Raw genomic sequence first — 18062 nt, forward strand, 5'->3', positions numbered from 1 at the left:
TCCTGTCATCTCGTAAGCTGAGGAGGATGTATTTTGCCTCAGGACCCTGTGATGATTAGCATTAACTGCACAAATTGTAGAGCATGTGTGTTTGAACAATATGAAATCTGGGCACCTTGAAAAAAGAACAAGATAACAGCAATGTTCAGGGAATAAGAGAGATAACCTTAAACTCTGACCGCCGGTGAGCCGGGAGGAACAGAGCGATATTTCTCTTCTTTCAAAAGCAAATGGGAGAAATATCGCTGAATTCTTTTTCTCAGCAATGAACATCCCTGAGAAAGAGAATGTGCCCCTGAGGGTGGGCCTCTAAAATGGCCCCCTTGGGTGTGGCCGTCTTCTATGGTTGAAACTGTAGGGATGAAATTAGCCCCAGTCTCCCATAGTGCTCCCAGGCTTATTAGGATGAGGAAATTCCCACCTAATAAATTTTGGTCAGACCTGTTGCTCTCAAACCCTGTCTCCTGATAAGATGTTATCAATGACAATGGTGCCCGAAACTTCATTAGCAATTTTAATTTCGCCCCAGTCCTGTGGTCCTGTGATCTTGCCCTGCCTCCATTTGCCTTGTGATTCTATTACTTTGTGGAGCACGTGATCTCTGTGACCCACACCCTATTCGTACACTCCCTCCCCTTTTGAAAATCCCTAATAAAAACTTGCTGGTTTTACAGCTCGGGGGCATCACGGAACCTACCGACATGTGATGTCTCCCCCGGATGTCCAGCCTTAAAATTTCTCTCTTTTGTACTCTGTCCCTTTATTTTTCAATGCAGCTGATGCTTGGGGAAAATAGAAAAGAACCTACGTGACTATCAGGGGCAGGTTCCCTGACACAAGGGATTTTCCTGCCTCAGCCTCCTGAGTAGCTGGGATTATAGGCGCACACCACCACACCCGGCTAATTTTTGTATTTTTAGTAGAGACTGGGTTTCACCATGTTGGCCAGGGTGGTCTCAAACTCCTGACCTCTGGTCATCCACCCGCCTCAGCCTCCCAAAGTGCTGGGATTACAGGCGTTAGCCACTGCACTCAGCAATCACAGATAATTAAACCATCTTTCAAAATCCATCAATAAGTTAAATATTTTATGGTACATTTACACAATAAAATACAAATTAGCTACTTAAAAATAATGAGATCTATATGTGATGGTATGAATGGACAGAGGCAATGTGTTATACAGAAAGGGTTTAACAATGTATGCTCCTATTGGAATGATAGTATGTTACTATTGCTGTTAGGAAGGAGTACATATATGCAGAGAGAATCTCTTAAAGGGTACACAAGGATTTGTTAATGGTTGCTTCATGGAACTGGAACTGCAAACTTGGAAGAGGAAGATAGCTTAGTTTTCACTGAATAATTGTTGTACTTAAAAAAATTTGTAATTTTTAGTTTTCAGTGGACCAGATATTTTGCTTCTGGTTTATAATGTCTCATCTTCAAAGTCAGCTGAGTTAGGTTTAATTAGCTCCATTTTACAGACAGAGACATTGTTATTTGAAAGATTGAGTAACTAGTCTAAGGTTACACAGCTGGTGTCCTCGTTGCCTGTTCAGTAGAAAGGTTTACATAAACAGCAAGGTGTGCTGTTCTCAATAGACTCACTTATGTTCATGATTTGGTACTTGCTCAAGCTGGAATCAATTTTTAGAAAAAATAAAATCTTTTGCAAAGATTTTTACCTCAAAAATAGAAAAAAAGGGCATTCCTGCCTTACCTTCTACAAGGGTCTTCTCTGAAATTCCAAGCATCAGGGTGTTATAACAGACTCTAAAAAGGGTTTCCTTTTTTCTTTCCTTTAACATTGCTTATTGCACAGCATGTTGAGACAGAGAAGATGGTAAGTGAAATAAAACAAAGGAAATAAAAAGTATCATCACTGGGTTTCAGAATCAGCATGGTTTATGCTAAGGGAAAGACTTGGAAACCTTGATTCAACATATAATTCTAAAAAGAGACAGGAAGAAATCCCACCTTGTTTCCTCTGATTCTACCTTTGGGATGGGTAGGTATGTTATACAATAAGAATAACATTAAGATGACTGCTATAAAAATAGTGGTTAAGAGCCTGGGTCCAGAATGAGAAAGGTGGATATTGAATTTACCTGAGTGCAACTAGGCAGACTCAGGTGAGTTGATTTTACCCACTCCTCCACTCAAATACTGGGTATGGCTTTGCAAAAACATTCAACCAGTTATCCACATAGTTGGTCTTAACTTTCCATGTGACTATAATGAATATAAACTTGCTAATGAGCAGAGTGTGATTTTAGTGTTTAAACTATTTTTTCCCGAATAATAGTTCCTAGATGCAGTTAATGAGCCTTATTGGGTACCCACACAAAGGAGATAGAATTGTCTGTTGGACTTTTTGAAAAACTTTCTTGGTTTTAAAAAAGGTACATTTCTAAAGGATTTTTATGTGTAGTTTTGACTAAACAAGTCTTTGCCTTACTTTCTGTTTTTAAAATCTAACCTCAACATTAATATGTCACTATACTGGTTATAACCATAACAAATTATTTCATCTCTCTGAGCCTGAGTACCCTCAACTGTATACACTATAAGGATGTGAAGATAGAAAGTGACATAAAAATGAAACATGTACTGACCACCCTCATAAACAGATCCCTCATACATATAGAATGTCTGTGCCTGGTTGATTAGTGAAGGAATGTGTACTCACCCAAAAGAAAAACTCTGAAATAAGTACTTTTAGATATTTACTTTTTCAATATTCCAAGTAATTATCACAACATTAAGGTGCATTCAGCTTTGTGTGTTAACGTGGTATACCTCCAGGCAACTTTTAGGATACTGTACAGATACAATGGCTGTGAAGGCTGGGATGAAAAGACCTGTGCGAAGCAGGACTGAGGCACTTAAGGAAGGCCTCAGAGTTACATCTCCTTTGCCTGTTTTCTTGCAGGCCACATACCCTAGCCCAGCCCTGTCAGCATGAGTGAGAACCAGGCTCTGCCTTTGCCCACACTAAACCACTACCTTCAAGGCCCCACAAAGACCCAGTGTCTCCAGACGGTCTTTCTGTCTTCTTAACACTCAGAGCTCCATGAACCAGAATGAAAGTTTTGGAACATGATCCAAGTAAAAGACTCAAGAAGTAAACACCACTAAGGTTAACTTTGCTTTAGAGGTTAGAGAAAACAATGCAAGGACACCACACCAGAGACTATGAAAACCCCAAATGTATTGAAATGATGCTGATTCCATTTACCTCCATATTGCCTGATAATACCCAGGTGCTACCATGGCAGCTTAAGGTGGTATTTGCTGGGAGCTATGATACTCTTTAAGAAGTAATAGCACTACTAGTAAAAGCAGTTAGTTCCAGGCAATATTCTATGCACATGACCCATTTCATCTTCTTATAAACCTCATGAAGTATATATTATTTTCATCCTCATTTTATAGATGCAGAAAGGGAAGCATAGACGTAAATTTCCAAGATTACACAGCTATTTATTGTTGGAACTGAGATTTGAATTCAGGTTGTCTGTCTTCAGGGACTGTGCTCTTAATCTCAGTGGTCATCAAACTTTTCTGTAAAGAGCCATCCAGTAAATATTGTGGGTTTATATACATTCTCTATTGCATATCCATTGGTTTTCAAAAATAATCCTATACAAATTCAAAAACCATTCTTAGCTCATAGACTACACAAAAACAGATTGCAAGTCCAGTTTGGCATTTACTGTTCCTATTGATCAAGGGTTTAAGAACATAGTGAGTACACTATTCCACATTCCCCTTAGGCAAATCCTGTATGTTTATAGTACTGTTAGATTTCTGTTGACAAAATAATCCACAATTCTGACTTCATCTCTCTCTCTCTCTCTCTTTCTGATTTTGTTTGAATTTATGAGGTTTAGTTGCATTTTCAAGTTAGTCTTCCTGCTAACTAGTGATTCTTTTGTTGAACATTTAAAAAGGGACTGTCAGGATTGAATAAGAGAACCTCTTCCAGTCACTTTTTTTTTTTTGAGAAAGGATCTCACCCTGTTGCCCAGGCTGGTGTGCAGTGGTGCAATCACAGATAACTGCAGCCTCAACCTCTTAGGTTCAAGTTCCCCCTGCCTCAATTTCTGAGTAGCTGGGACTACAGATGTGCACCACCATGCCTAGCAAATTTTTAATTTTTTGTAGAGATGGGGCCTCACTACATTACCCAAGCTAGTCTTGAACTCCTGGGCTCAAGCAATGCTCCTGCCTCGGCCTCCCAAAGTGCTGGGATTACAGGTGTGAGTGACTGCATCCAGCCTCTTATAGTCACTTTTAATCTATCATTGGCTTTCCCATTAGATTGTACTGTTATACAAGGAAGTGACTTCAGACAGTACGGCACTAGACTAGAGGCTGTGTTTTTCTTTAATAAAGGCATAAATGAGATGAATTGCTCTAAGGCTTTAGGCTTGTCCCTTTTCTGAGAAGTGACCTTTGGGAGGTCACATTTAGTTAAAGCAGTTTTGCTAGTATAAATTTACCAGGATCCTGACATGTAATCCTGTATCATTTTCAGTAAGGTTAAAATGGTATATGAAAGGAGGTGGTTCACAAAATGGATTAATATCAACATGGAACTTCATGCTTTCTAGGTACCTGCTGCATCCTTGGAGATTCAAAATGTCATCATGGCATTCTAGGCTAGACTGGCAGTGGAGAAATCACTGTGAGTTATTGGATTTGCTCAAGATAAAATCTTGAATTTGCAAATAAATCCTGGTCAGCTTTTTTTAACACTCTTGTGGTAAATAATACACAACTCAGATTCATGTAATGGGTGTAAGAAAATCATTGCTTTGGTTATTTCAGTATGAAACTCAAGAGAAAACTTACTGAAGTGTTTTTAAAATTATTCTGACCACAACCCAAGGTAAAACATAAGCCAAAAAACATATCATGACATAGTAAATGAAGCCAGGATTGTATATATATGTCTACTCAAGTATATGAAATGGAAACAACAGTTTCAGAGGCAGTACTATGCTTACTACATTTGAGGCATTTCTGGTATTTTCTATTCTATTTAATTAAATTTTTAGTACTTCTTATTTTAGCTACATTTATTTCATAACTCATTAATGGGTTTTGACTCACAGCTCAAAAACACTGCCTTAGAGAATCCAAATGTTCACACTATCCATATTTATAAGAAGTAATTGTTCTGGGGTTCTTGTGTATTCTTATAGCTTAGTTTTATTTATTTGCTAAGACCTGGCTAAGTGAGAACTGCAAAGAGTTATGCCTTCAACTACCTAAGCCAGGAATTTTCTGAGGTGGCAGGGGAACCAGGGTGAGCAGAAGGACATATCATCCCCACCCTCATTAAGCTTATGCTATAGTGGATGAAATAAACTCAGAAGTCAAGGAGTTTCAGAAGAGAAGTCATTCCCTTGAGTAACTATGTTAAGTACGTAAACAGCTTTAGTAGTGCTTTCTTAGTACAAGGTGTTTTCTTCTGATCTAGGAGAGTCAGTCCAATTTTTTTCTTTTGAGAAAATGGAGGCTCAAAGAGTCTGTCATTTATCTCCAGTCTCTTCATTATTTTGAGTCCAAGTACAGGATTATTTGTAATATACATGCTGCCTCACATGACTAAGTGGGTTTTGTGATAGAAAGGGAATTTGGAGTTGAGAAGAGAAAGTGATGATTAAGTCACATCATTAAAATGTTTGACTCTCAGATATCTTGGAAAGACTTTGAAGGCACTCTAGCCAAACTTTTTCCTTCAGAAGGAGCTTATCTAATTATTCTAGATAATAGAGAAAAACTAGTTCTTTTAAAGAGACAAATTATATACCATTTAGTGTTTCACAATATTTTCTGAATAAACTTAAAATCCCTTATTTGGAATTTAACTCATCTAAATCCTTATTTCAAAAACCAGGAAACAGAGTCAAACATTTTCTCAGTTATCAAGGCAGTAAACCAAAGATTGTCACCTGCACAGGAGAATCTATGATTTGTTCTTCTCATCATTATACATTTCACGAGCATTGACTCAAAAAACCATGCTACCTATAAACTAATCAACAATTGCTTCTTCTAGGGACTGAAATTTTAAAATTTCAGACGTGGAGGATCGACTCTACTTCAAAGCAAAATTCAGTGGACTTCTGCACACATATCCATTCTAATCTGTTACAAGTCTGCACTTTGGAGATTAGTTCATGCTACACACTTAGAGGTGTAATATTTTCCTACTTGGGAAAATTGAAATTACTTAGATACAAAAGAGTGGTTGTAGTAAGAAAATAGGCAAGGAGAACATTTTAAAGTGCTGATCCTCGGTAAAGCCATACATAGGATGCACCTGGGAGCAGATCTTTCTGAAGTCATTCTGTGCTCAGAGATGTTTCTCCTTACCTTGCTGCCTATGTCAAATTCTCTGTGATATGTTCTTAGAGCCCCATGACCTCTCTTCTTAACTTGCAGTGGGAGCTTGAATTTTCCATTTATTTTTGTGACCATTTAGTCTATAAGAGTCTCCGTCTTTACAGGGCCCTCACTTGACTACAGACTCCATAAAGGCAGAGATTCTATGTTTACTCTATTATTACTGTATTCCCAGCACTAAGCACTAGGATTAATACATAGTAAGTGTTCAACAGATGTTTACTGGATGATTAGATTGGCATTTTAAGGTAGTCTGAGATCATGTTTTAGACAAGATACTTCAGTTTAGTCCAATCTTTATTATTTATTAGCTACTAAAGAGAAATTGATAATTACTCATGATATTCTTCTTTTTTGTTTTACAGTCAACTTTGACCACTTTGAAATTTTGCGAGCCATTGGGAAAGGCAGTTTTGGGAAGGTGAGAACAAATTGAAATGATTAACCACCAGCAGGGTTATGTAGCCCAGGGAACAGAGGGTCCAGAAATGTTCACATTATTGAGTTGCTGGGACCGCAAGGAAAGATAATTAAGTGAAAATGTTTTTGTAATGGATTTTTATAAAATTGTCACCACAGTTTAAGAAAAGCGTGTGACAGGCAGCTACATAATGAACATATACTGTTGTCAGAATAATCTCATTAAACTCAAATCTGTTTACTCTCAGTAAACTTTAAGGCTTTTCTCTCTACCCTAAAGGAGATGAAGATTTCAGAATCATTTTCAGATTCTACCAGCTGTATGCCCAGTAATAGTTATCTTGTTTATGGAAGAGTTACTTATTTTCATGTGGGAAAGAAGTCACCCGATTTCTATTTGTTTCCTCATTTGTCTAATGTTTTTATCTTAAGAAAAATACATATTCAGTTTAATTTTTTTTGCAAGAAACTTCTGTATTCAAACCCTGATTACTAGTTTCTCAATGGAGACATACTTTAAGAGAATAATATTTCATATAAAACTTGCATTTTAAAATCATTTTCTGTTTACTTTTTCAGGCATTATACAGACCTCTAAAGAAATTTCAAAAACATGGACATCATATTTAGTGTTTTTCCAGTCCTTAAAGTCCTTTTTGGTTATATCATGTATGGTTGTAAACAGAAATTCTTTGCACAGTATTATTCAGCTTGACAGTTCAGTCATGTCTATTTCAGTCACTCAAAGCAGGATTAAGGATGTTACTTGTTATTGGAATATTCCTGACATGGAGGCAGCTATTTTCACCAAAATGCTGTCTTAAAAGCCCAAAAAGCAATACCAGGCAAAATTGTTTGAGAAAAAAGAGATCCAAGAATTGAACTGGTGCATAGAAAAGAAAATGAAATTTTTAATCTAAAATCAGAGCTAAGTGGGAGCTTTTAACATCATATAATTTGCAAATGTTAAGGATCCAAGCCACAGCAAAGAACATGTCTTGTTCTGTCTCTCATCACCATGATCCATTATCTCCCTAATCACTCTCTCACTCGGGTTTTCACCATTAGGTCTGCATTGTACAGAAGAATGATACCAAGAAGATGTACGCAATGAAGTACATGAATAAACAAAAGTGCGTGGAGCGCAATGAAGTGAGAAATGTCTTCAAGGAACTCCAGATCATGCAGGGTCTGGAGCACCCTTTCCTGGTTAATTTGTGGTGAGTAATTTTACTGGACCTCTGAATAGAGACACTCCTGTTATCGGTGGGCTAGGGGAGGTCCCCAAATGCCTCTGGGACCTCAGCCCTGGCTGGTATCCAGGCTCTTGACACAATTGCAAGAAAGAGTTCAAGGATGAGTTGGAAAACAGTGAAAGTACAGAGATTTATTGCAAAGTGGAAAAGTACACACTCAAGAGAGGGGAGCATGGGTGAACTCCAGCGAATGTCATGTAAGGGGGGGTTTGAGGCTGCTGCCATAATGGGTTTCTTTAACCAAGGGGTGAAACATTCATGATGATTCCTGAAAAAAGATGGAGATTTCTTGGAACTGTGGTGCCAGCTATTTTTACACCAAATATGAATGTTCCTGGAACTGTCATGGTGCTGGTGGGTGTATGATTTAGTATGTTAATGAGTGTATGATGAGGTCCTAGGTGAAACCTAGGTCAAATCCAGCACAATGGAGAGGACCCACAGACTCTCTGAAGGAAACGACTGCTCCTGCAGGACCCAGGCAACTCCCCCAAAACTGTGAGTACCCCAACTGTGGAGGTGGGAAAGAGAGACCCTCCTCTCCCAAACACACACCCCCACTGGAGAAGCTGAAGGTCTGTTTGCTGGAGAAGTTTCTGACTTTACCTGGAGCTGAGTGGACTTGAAGAGCCCAGTGAAATACACGGGGAGAAGAAGCAGCAGAAAGGCCCTGGGAGCTTGCTGGGTCCACAAGCAGGCCATTCCTGCCTGGCACCACAGGGATCCAATGGGAGAGGAGCGGGGGTAAAATTCCATAGGGAGAAGCAAATCTCTAGCTGAACTTGGTGACAATTTGAACAGGGTGAGAAAGCGCCTGGCCAGAACTCAGGAGAGGGCACAAATCCAGTGTGCAGACTCCGGGGGCAGGGGATAAACCAAGCCCTTTTATTTCCCAGCTGGGAGCGGGGAGCCTGGGGCAGGTTTTCAAGCAGGTATTGCTTCTCTACTTAGAAACAACCTGGGAGCTGTGTTGGCGGGGGAGGGGGGTTGGGGATGGGGGAGGGGGGTGGTGGAAAGCACGGTGGGAGTGAGACCGGCCCTTCGGTTTTCATGGGAGCTGGGTGAGGCCTGTGACTGCCAGCTTTTCCCCACTTCCTGACAATCTGCATGTTTCTGCAGAGACAGCCATAATCCTCCTAGGTACACAACTCCAGTGACCTGGGAATCCCACCCCCATTCCCCACAGCAGCAGCAGCAGCAAGGCCCACCCAAAGGAGTCTGAGCTCAGAGACACCTAGCCCTGCCCCCACCTGATGGTCCTTCCTACTCACTCTGGTATCGGAAAACAAAGGGCATATAATCTTGGGAGTTCTAGGGCCCTGCCCACTGCCAGTTTCTCCCCATAATACCAAAGCTGATGCTCTCTGGAAAAGCACCACCTCCTGGCAGGAGGACAACAGCACAAAAATAGAATATTAACCAAAGCTAAGAACCCTTACAGAGTCCATTGTACTCCCTGCCACCTCCACCAGAATAGGCACTGGTATCCACAGCTGAGAGACTCATAGATGGTTCACATCACAGGACTCTGTGCAGACGACTTCCAGTACCAGCCTGGAGCTGGGTAGGCTAGCTGGGTGGCTAGACCCAGAATAGAGATAACAATCACTGCAGTTCAGCTCACAAGAAACCATATCCATAGGAAAGGAGGAGAGTACTACATCAAAGGAACACCCAGTGGGACGAAAGAGTCTGAACAAGACTTTCCCTCTGAAAGAGCCTACCCAAGTGAGAAGGAACCAGTAATATGACAAAACAAGGCTCTTGATGCCCCCCAAAAATCACACTAGTTCACCAGCAATGGATCCAAACCAAGAAGAAATCCCTGATTTACCTGAAAAAGAATTCAGGAGGTTAGCTATTAAGCTAATCAGGGAGGAACCAGAGAAAGGTGAAGCTCAGTGCAAGGGAATCCAAAATATGATACAAGAAGTGAAGGGAGAAATATTCAAGCAAATAGATAGCTTAAAGAAAAAACAATACAAAATTCAGGAAACTTTAGACACACTTTAAAAATTGCAAAATGCTCTAGAAAGTGTCAGCAATAGAATTGAACAAGTAGAAGAAAGAAATTCAGAGCTCGAAGACAAAGTCTTCAAATTAACCCAATCAAACAAAGACAAAGCAAAAAGAATAAGAAAATATAAACAAAACTCCCAAGAAGTCTGATATTATGTTAAATGACCAAACCTAAGAATAATGGGTGTCCCTGAGGAAGAAGAGAATTTTAAAAGCTTGGAAAACATATCTGAGGGAATAATTGAGGAAAACTTCCCCGGCCTTGCTAGAAATCTAGACATCCAAATACAAGAAGCACAAAAAACACCTGGGTAATTCATCGCAAAAAGATATTTGCTTAGGCACACTGTCATCAGATTATCCAAAGTTAAGATGAAGGAAAGAATCTTAAGAGATATGAGACAGAAGCACCAGGAAACCTACAAAGGAAAACCTATTAGATTAACAGCAGATTTCTCAGCAGAAACCCTACAAGCTAGAAGGGATTGGAGCCCTATCTCTGGCCTCCTCAAAACAATTATTAGCCAAGAATTTTGTATCCAGTGAAACTAAGCATCATATATGAAGGAAAGATACAGTCATTTTCAGACAAACAAATGCTGAGAGAAATTGCCATTACCAAGTCACCACTACAAGAACCGCTAAAAGGAGCTCTAAATCTTAAAACAAATCCTGGAAACACATCAAAATGGAACCTCTTTAAAGCATAAATCACAGAGGATCTACAAAATAAAAATACAAGTTAAAAAGCAAAAACAAAACCAAAAAAATCTGCAGGACCCAGGAGACCACCCCCCAAAAAATGTGAGTGCTCCAACTGTGGAAGTAGGAAAGGAAGAGCATCCTTTCCTGAACACACACCCCCACTGGAGAAGCTGAAGGTCTGTTTGTGGGAGAACAGCTTTAGCTCTTTTTTGGTTTTTTGGAAAAAAACCCAAAGTACACAGGCAACAAAGAGCATGATGAATGCAACGGTACCTCACATTTCAATACTAACATTGAATGTAAATGGCCTAAATGCTCCACTTAAAAGATACAGAATCACAGAATGGATAAGAACTCACCAACCTACTATGTGCTGCCTTCAGGAGACTCACCTAGTACATAAGTACTCACATAAACATAAAGTAAAGGTGTGGGGAAAGGAATTTCATGCAAATGGACACCAAAAGCGAGGAGGGGTAGCTATTCTTATATCAGACAAAACAAACTTTAAAGTAACAGCAGTTAAAAGAGAGACAAAGAGGGACATTATATAATGGTAAAAGGCCTTGTTCAACAGGAAAATGTCACAATCCTAAACATATAAGCACCTAACACTGGAGCTCCCAAATTTATAAAACAATTACTAATTGACCTAAGAAATGAGACAGACAGCAACACAATAATAGTGAAGGATTTTAATACTCCACTGACAGCACTAGACAGGTCATCAAGAGAGAAAGTCAACAAAGAAACAATGGATTTAAACTATACCTTGAAACAAATGGATTTAACAGATATATACAGAACATTTCATCCAACAACTGCAGAATACACATTCTATTCAACAGAGCATGGAAGTTTCTCCAAGATAGACCATATGATAGGCCATAAAATGAGCCTCAATAAATTTAAGAAAATTCATATTATATCAACATTCTCTCAGACCACAGTGGAATAAAACTGGAAATGAACTCCAAAAGGAAACTTCAAAACCATGCAAATACATGGAAATTAAATAACCTGCTCCTGAATGGCATTGGGTCAAAAACAAAATCAAGATGAAAATTTAAAAATTCTTCAAACTGAATGACAATAATGACACAACCTATCAAAACCTCTAGGATACAGCAAAGGCGGTGCTAAAAGCAAAGTTGATAGCCCTAAACGCCCACATTGAAAAGACTGAAAGAGCACAAACTGACACTCTAAGGTCACACCTGAAGGGACTAGAGAAACAAGAATAAACCAAACCCAAACCCGGCAGAAGAAAGGAAATAACCAAGATCAAAGCAGAACTAAATGAAATTGAAACAAAAAAAAAAAAAGAAAGATAAATAAAACAAAAAGATGGTTCTTTGAAAAGATAAACAAAATTGGTAGACTATTGGCAAGATTAACCAAGAAAACAAGGGAGAAAATCTAAATAACCTCACTAAGAAATGAAACAAGAGATATTACAACTGACACCACTGAAATACAAAAGATCATTCAAGGCTACTATGAACACCTTTATGCACATAAACTAGAAAACCTAGAAGATATGGATAAATTCCTGGAAAAATATAACTCTCCTAGCTTAAATCAGGAAGAATTAAATACCCTGAACAGATCAATAGCAAGCAGCGAGATTGAAACGGTAATTTAAAAATTACCAAGAAAAATGCCCAGGACCAGATGGATTCACAGCAGAATTATATCAGACATTCAAAGAAGAATTGGTACCAATTCTTTTGACACTAAGGAAACCTCCCTAATTCATCCTATGAAGCCAGCATCACCCTAATACCAAAACCATGAAAGAACATAACCTAAAAAGAAAACTGCAGACCAATATCACTGATGAACACAGATGCTGAAATCCTTAACAAAATACTAGCTAACTGAATCCAACAGCATATCAAAAAGATAATCCACCATGATCAAGTGGGTTTCATATCAGGGATGCAGGAATGGCTTAACATACACAAGTCAATAAATGTGACACACCACATAAACAGAATTTTTAAAAAAATCACATGATCATCTCAGTAGGTGCAGAAAAAGCATTCAACAAAATCCAGCATCCTTTTATGATTAAAACCCTCAGCAAAATCAGCATACAAGGGACATAGGCCTTAATGTAATAAAAGCCATCTATGACAAACCCACAGCCAACATAAAACTGAACACATTCCCTCTGAGAACCAGAATGAGACAAGTATGCCCACTCTCACTGCTCCTCTTCAATGTAGTACTGGAAGTCCTAGCCAGAGCAATAAGACAAGAGAAAGAAATAAAGGTCATCTAAATCAGTAAAGAGGAAGTCAAACTGTCACTGCTTGTTGGCGATATGATCGTTTAACTTGAAAACCCTAAGGACTCTTCCAGAAAGCTCCTAGAACTGATAAAAGAATTCAGCAAAGTTTCCGGATACAAGATTAATGTACACAAATCAGTAGCTCTTCTATACACCAACAGCAACCAAGTAGAGAACCAAATCAAGAACTCAATCCCTTTTACAATAGCTGCAAAAAAAAACAAAACAAAACAAGACAAAACAAAAAAACAACAAAAAAAAAACAAATACTTAGGAATATACTTAACCAAGGAGTAGAAAGACCTCTACAAGGAAAATTACAAAACACTGCTGGAAGGAATCATAGATGACACAAACAAATGGAAACATGTCCCATGCTCATGGATGAGTAAAATCAGTATTGTGAAAAATAACCATACTGCCAAAAGCAATCTATAAATTCAATGCAATTTCCATCAAAATACCACCATCATTCTTCACAGAATTAGAAAAAACAATTCTAAAATTCATATGGAACCAAAAAAGAACCTGCATAGCCAAAGCAAGACTAAGCAAAAAGATCAAATCTGGAGGCATCACACTACCTGATTTCAAATTATACCATAAGCCCACAGTCACCAAAACAGCATGGTACTGGTACAAAAATAGGCACATAGACCAATGGAACAGAATAGAGAACACAGAAATAAACTCAAATACTTACAGCCAACTGATCTTTGATAAAGCAAATGAAAACATAAAGTGGGAAAAGGACACCCTTTTCAACAAATGGTGCTGGGATAATTGAATAGCCACAAGTAGGAGAATGAAACTGGATCGTCATCTCTCACCTTATACAAAAATCAACTGAAGATGGATTAAGGACTTAAACCTAAGACCTGAAACTATAAAAATTCTAGAAGATAACATTGGAAAAACCCTTCTAGACATTGGCTTAAGCAAGGGTTTCATGACCAAGAACCCAAAAGCAAATGCAATAAAAACAAAGATAAATTGCTGGTACCTAATTAAACTAAAGAGCTTTTGCATGGCAAACGGAAGTCAGCAAACAGCCCACAGAGTGGAAGAAAATCTTCACAATCTATACATCTGACAAAGGATGAATATCCAGAATCTACAATGAACTCAAGTAAATCAGTAAGGAAAAAACAATCCTATCAAAAAGTGGGCTAAGGACATGAATAGACAGTTCTCAAAAGAAGATATACAAATGGCCAGCAAACATATGAAAAAATGCTCAACATCACTAATGATCAGGGAAATGCAAATCAAAACCATAATGTGATTCCACCTTACTCCTGCAAGAATGGTTATAATAAAAAAAAAATCAAAAAACAGCAGATGTTGGCATGGATGCAGTGAACAGGGAACACTTCTACACTGCTGGTGGGAATGTAAACTAGTACAGCCACTATTGAAAACAGTGTGGAAATTACTTAAAGAACTAAAAGTAGAACTACCATTTGATCCAGCAATCCCTCTACTGGGTATCTACTCAGAGGAAAATAAGTCATTATTCAAAAAAGATACTTACACATGCATGTTTACAGAGCACAGAGTTGCAACCCAAATGCCCATCAATCAATGAGTGGATAAAGAAACTGTGGTATATGTATACATGATGGAATACTATGCAGCCATAAAAAGGAATGAACTAACAGCATTTGCAGTGACCTGGATGAGATTGGAGACTATTATTCTAAGTGACGTAATTCAGGAATTGAAAACCAAACATCATATGTTCTCACTGATATGTGGAAGCTAAGCTATGAGGATGCAAAGCAATGAGAATGATACAATGGACTTTGGAGACTTAGGGGGAAGAGTGGGAGGGGGGCGAGGGATACAAGACTACAAATGTGGTGTAGTGTATACTGCTCAGGTGATGGGTGCAACAAAATCTCACAATCACCACTAAAGAACTTACCCATGTAACCAAAACCACCTTTACCCCAATAACTTATGGAAAAATAATCCAGCACCACATTAGGTTTAGTCGGACTTAGCCAGCTTGGCTTACACCCTGGTTTTTCAGGTTCTTATCAGTCCCAGTTTATGCAGCTGTTTCAACATTTTCCTTTTGCTAGTCATGTGAAACTGCTGTCTGGAATTTTCTTTTCTCCTGCTACCACCCTTTATTATTCTTGTCTCACTTTCATCTTCATCCCTACTGTTACATAAATGCATCTTGATTTCTAGGCAAGCATTTGTCAAATTCTCATTAGGATCTTCCTCAGGGTCTTTTGTTCTCCTTAGTTTCTTTGGCTTTATAGTGAAAGAACATTTTTCTTTTATTGTCACTAACAAATACTTCTTGGTCAGTTGTCACAGTTCCCCTTGTCCTTGAGGTCAATATATATATATTTTTAAACATTGTAATTAAATATGCTGACTGGGAAGGAGTTCAGATGTCTTACTAGTTATTAGATACTTTCTTTCCCCATGAACTGCACGGGAGGAACTTTGGTTACAAAGCTTGGCCTCATCAGCTGACTTGAGGTTGATATTTAGAATTTATACGAAGCACTTTCTCCCTTAAAATAACTGGCAATAAAACTGTTGCTTTGTAGCGTATTTCTTAGGCAGCCACATATATACCTGTAAGTTAGACAAGGATAGGTGCTTCCTTTGTCAACAAATAGCTTTTGCAGAGCTGAAGCTAACTTGTATCAATGACTAGACATTAAGTGACTGTGATCTGCGCTCCAAGCTATTTCCATAATCCAAGGCATAGAAAATGGCAGAGAAGCTTGCAGTATCTGTTACCTCCTGTTCTTTTCTTGTGTGTCAAGGTCTTTGTGTGTCACCTTCATTTTATTTTACATTTTAATGCGTCCATTATGTTAAGTGGTGTTTCTTAAAGCTAATTCAGGATGACTGTTATTTAAATATGCATACCAAGAAGTTCTGACTTACCAGCAAAGAAAAAAAAGGGTCTTTATTCAGAGAATGCTAATGGAAAAATAATTGAGGTTTTACTCTGTGTTTAGGGACATCCTTCTGGAGAAATCAGTACATAAAACCTGCCTCCATCCATCTTTAATTATTACAGTTCATTTAATATACAATTTGCTCAAAGCCTCTATGCCACAGTTGAAAAGAAGATGGTTTTATGTGACTTGGAAATAGGTCTATTACAGTTTATGCACTACTCGGATATGGTAGAGTCTAATTTCAGCTTAAGCTCAGTGTATTTAATCAGTATCTTAGAGTGGCCTATTCAAAATGCTGCCATGTAAAAAGCTAAAATGGATGCAGCTCTTTCTTCCCTACCCTTAGCAATCATCAAATTGCCTTTCTTCCCCTCTCTCTGCATCCTGAGAATGACAAGATACTGTCACTTCACAACCTCCCTTTGTTCAAAGTCACATTTTTCTTCTTAAAAAGTTTAACCGACTAATTTTTTTTTTTTTAAGACCAGGGACCCATGATAAGGCCTTAGCATTTTACCTTCTCATATTTGTCTTTCATCGCTGTGTGGGCAAAGTTGATTTCATTCTGTTCCTTTTTTTAAGAAAATGGGTATTGTGAGGCTTTAAGCTGGCCAAAGATGATAGATTTTGCTGTTTGCTAATTTGGTGTCATTCCAGACAACATTCTGTTCTCCATGCATACTGACCTGGTGATAACATGACATATAACCTATTCTTTCCTTCTCACTTCTCACATTGAACCTCACAGTGGAACACTAGGCATCATTAACAATGATAGAAGAAAGAGAGGAGACTTACCTCCACCCAGTGATTCTGGTACTACATTCAAAACTAGAAACTAACTGGGAGGGGGAATTCTTAAAGTACAACAGCAACTCCCTTTGTCTTCCAAACCATGAGAAAAATCTTCACAAATCTGTATCATTCTTCCTAATAAATGCTTTTTGTTTTAGTAAGTACAATATATTCAATGTAAGTTTATCTTTCCACATTTATAAACCATCTTGCAGTGCTTTTGAAGGTGTGATTGTGAGTGTATTAGTCAGTTCTCACATTGCTATAAAGAAATACCTGAGACTGGGTAATTTTTAAAGAAAAGAAGTTTAAGTGGCTCATGGTTCTGCAGGCTGTGCAGGAAGCATAGTGGCTTCTGCTTTGGGGAGGACTCAGGAAGCTTCCAATCATTGTGGAAGGCAAAAAGGGGAGCAGGGCATCTCACATGGTGGGAGCAGGAGCAAGAGAGAGGAGGAGAGAGTCACTACACACTTTTAAATGACCAGCTCTCTTAAGACCTCTATCACGAGAACAGCACCAAGAGGATGGTGTGAAACCATTCATGAGGATCCACCCCCATGATCCAATCACCTCCCACCAGGCCCCACCTCCAGCATTGGGGATTACAATTCAACATGAGATTTGGGTGGGGATAGAGATGCAAACCATATCAGTGAGTAATTTACTTCATCATTTTTAAGTCACATGGTTATAAGATAGGGTTAATGTGTGTAACTTTACATTTATAAATGAAATGAATAAAGTGCTATGGCCAGTACCCAGCACATAGTAACAGGTGTCTTACAAATATTCGTTCTTTCCTTCCTTACTTCATGAAGTTATGACATTCTGAACTTGCCCATCTCCTATGGTTCATTGTGGACATCCAAAGGACAAATCTAAATGGTGCTTGGCCCCAGGACATCATGGAAAGCTGTATGTGCAGTGTCAAGGGGGTTATCTTCAACTCATTCTCTATAAGAGCATATGTTGCTTGTTTTGTTTTGTTTTCTATCCTCATTCTGCAAATTAAACAAACATCAAGACTCCCCAATATATTGTGTGCAATTTAATCAAGATTTTATGTCCTGAGTTTAACTATTAGATTTATCTTTACCACCCGAAAGCATTAAAAGCTTAAGAAGCATTGTATTATTTATAAAGTAACAGCAATACTTTTAAAATTTCTGCCTTCTTTGTGTACTCTATTTTATGGATATGCTGTGTAGGCCTCTCAAT

At 38.5% G+C, this 18062-nt stretch overlaps 1 protein-coding gene across 8 annotated transcripts in view; it reads left to right on the plus strand.

Moving 5' to 3' along the window:
• The window catches only part of STK32A (serine/threonine kinase 32A), a 166965-nt gene that overhangs the window by 36313 nt on the left and 112590 nt on the right, over window positions 1–18062 (plus strand). For 7 of the 8 annotated variants that reach the window (XM_011537577.3, NM_001112724.2, NM_001287740.2 and 4 more), the window contains exons 3-4: window positions 6786–6841; window positions 7909–8060. In XM_011537577.3, the coding sequence (XP_011535879.1) occupies window positions 6786–6841; window positions 7909–8060 (208 nt within the window). Of the gene's footprint in view, window positions 1–4625; window positions 4694–6785; window positions 6842–7908; window positions 8061–18062 lie in introns of those variants that run through there. The other variant, XM_011537576.1, reaches the window with a different exon arrangement.

This window comes from Homo sapiens, chromosome 5, assembly GCF_000001405.40.
Source record: "Homo sapiens chromosome 5, GRCh38.p14 Primary Assembly".
Lineage (NCBI taxonomy): Eukaryota > Metazoa > Chordata > Mammalia > Primates > Hominidae > Homo > Homo sapiens.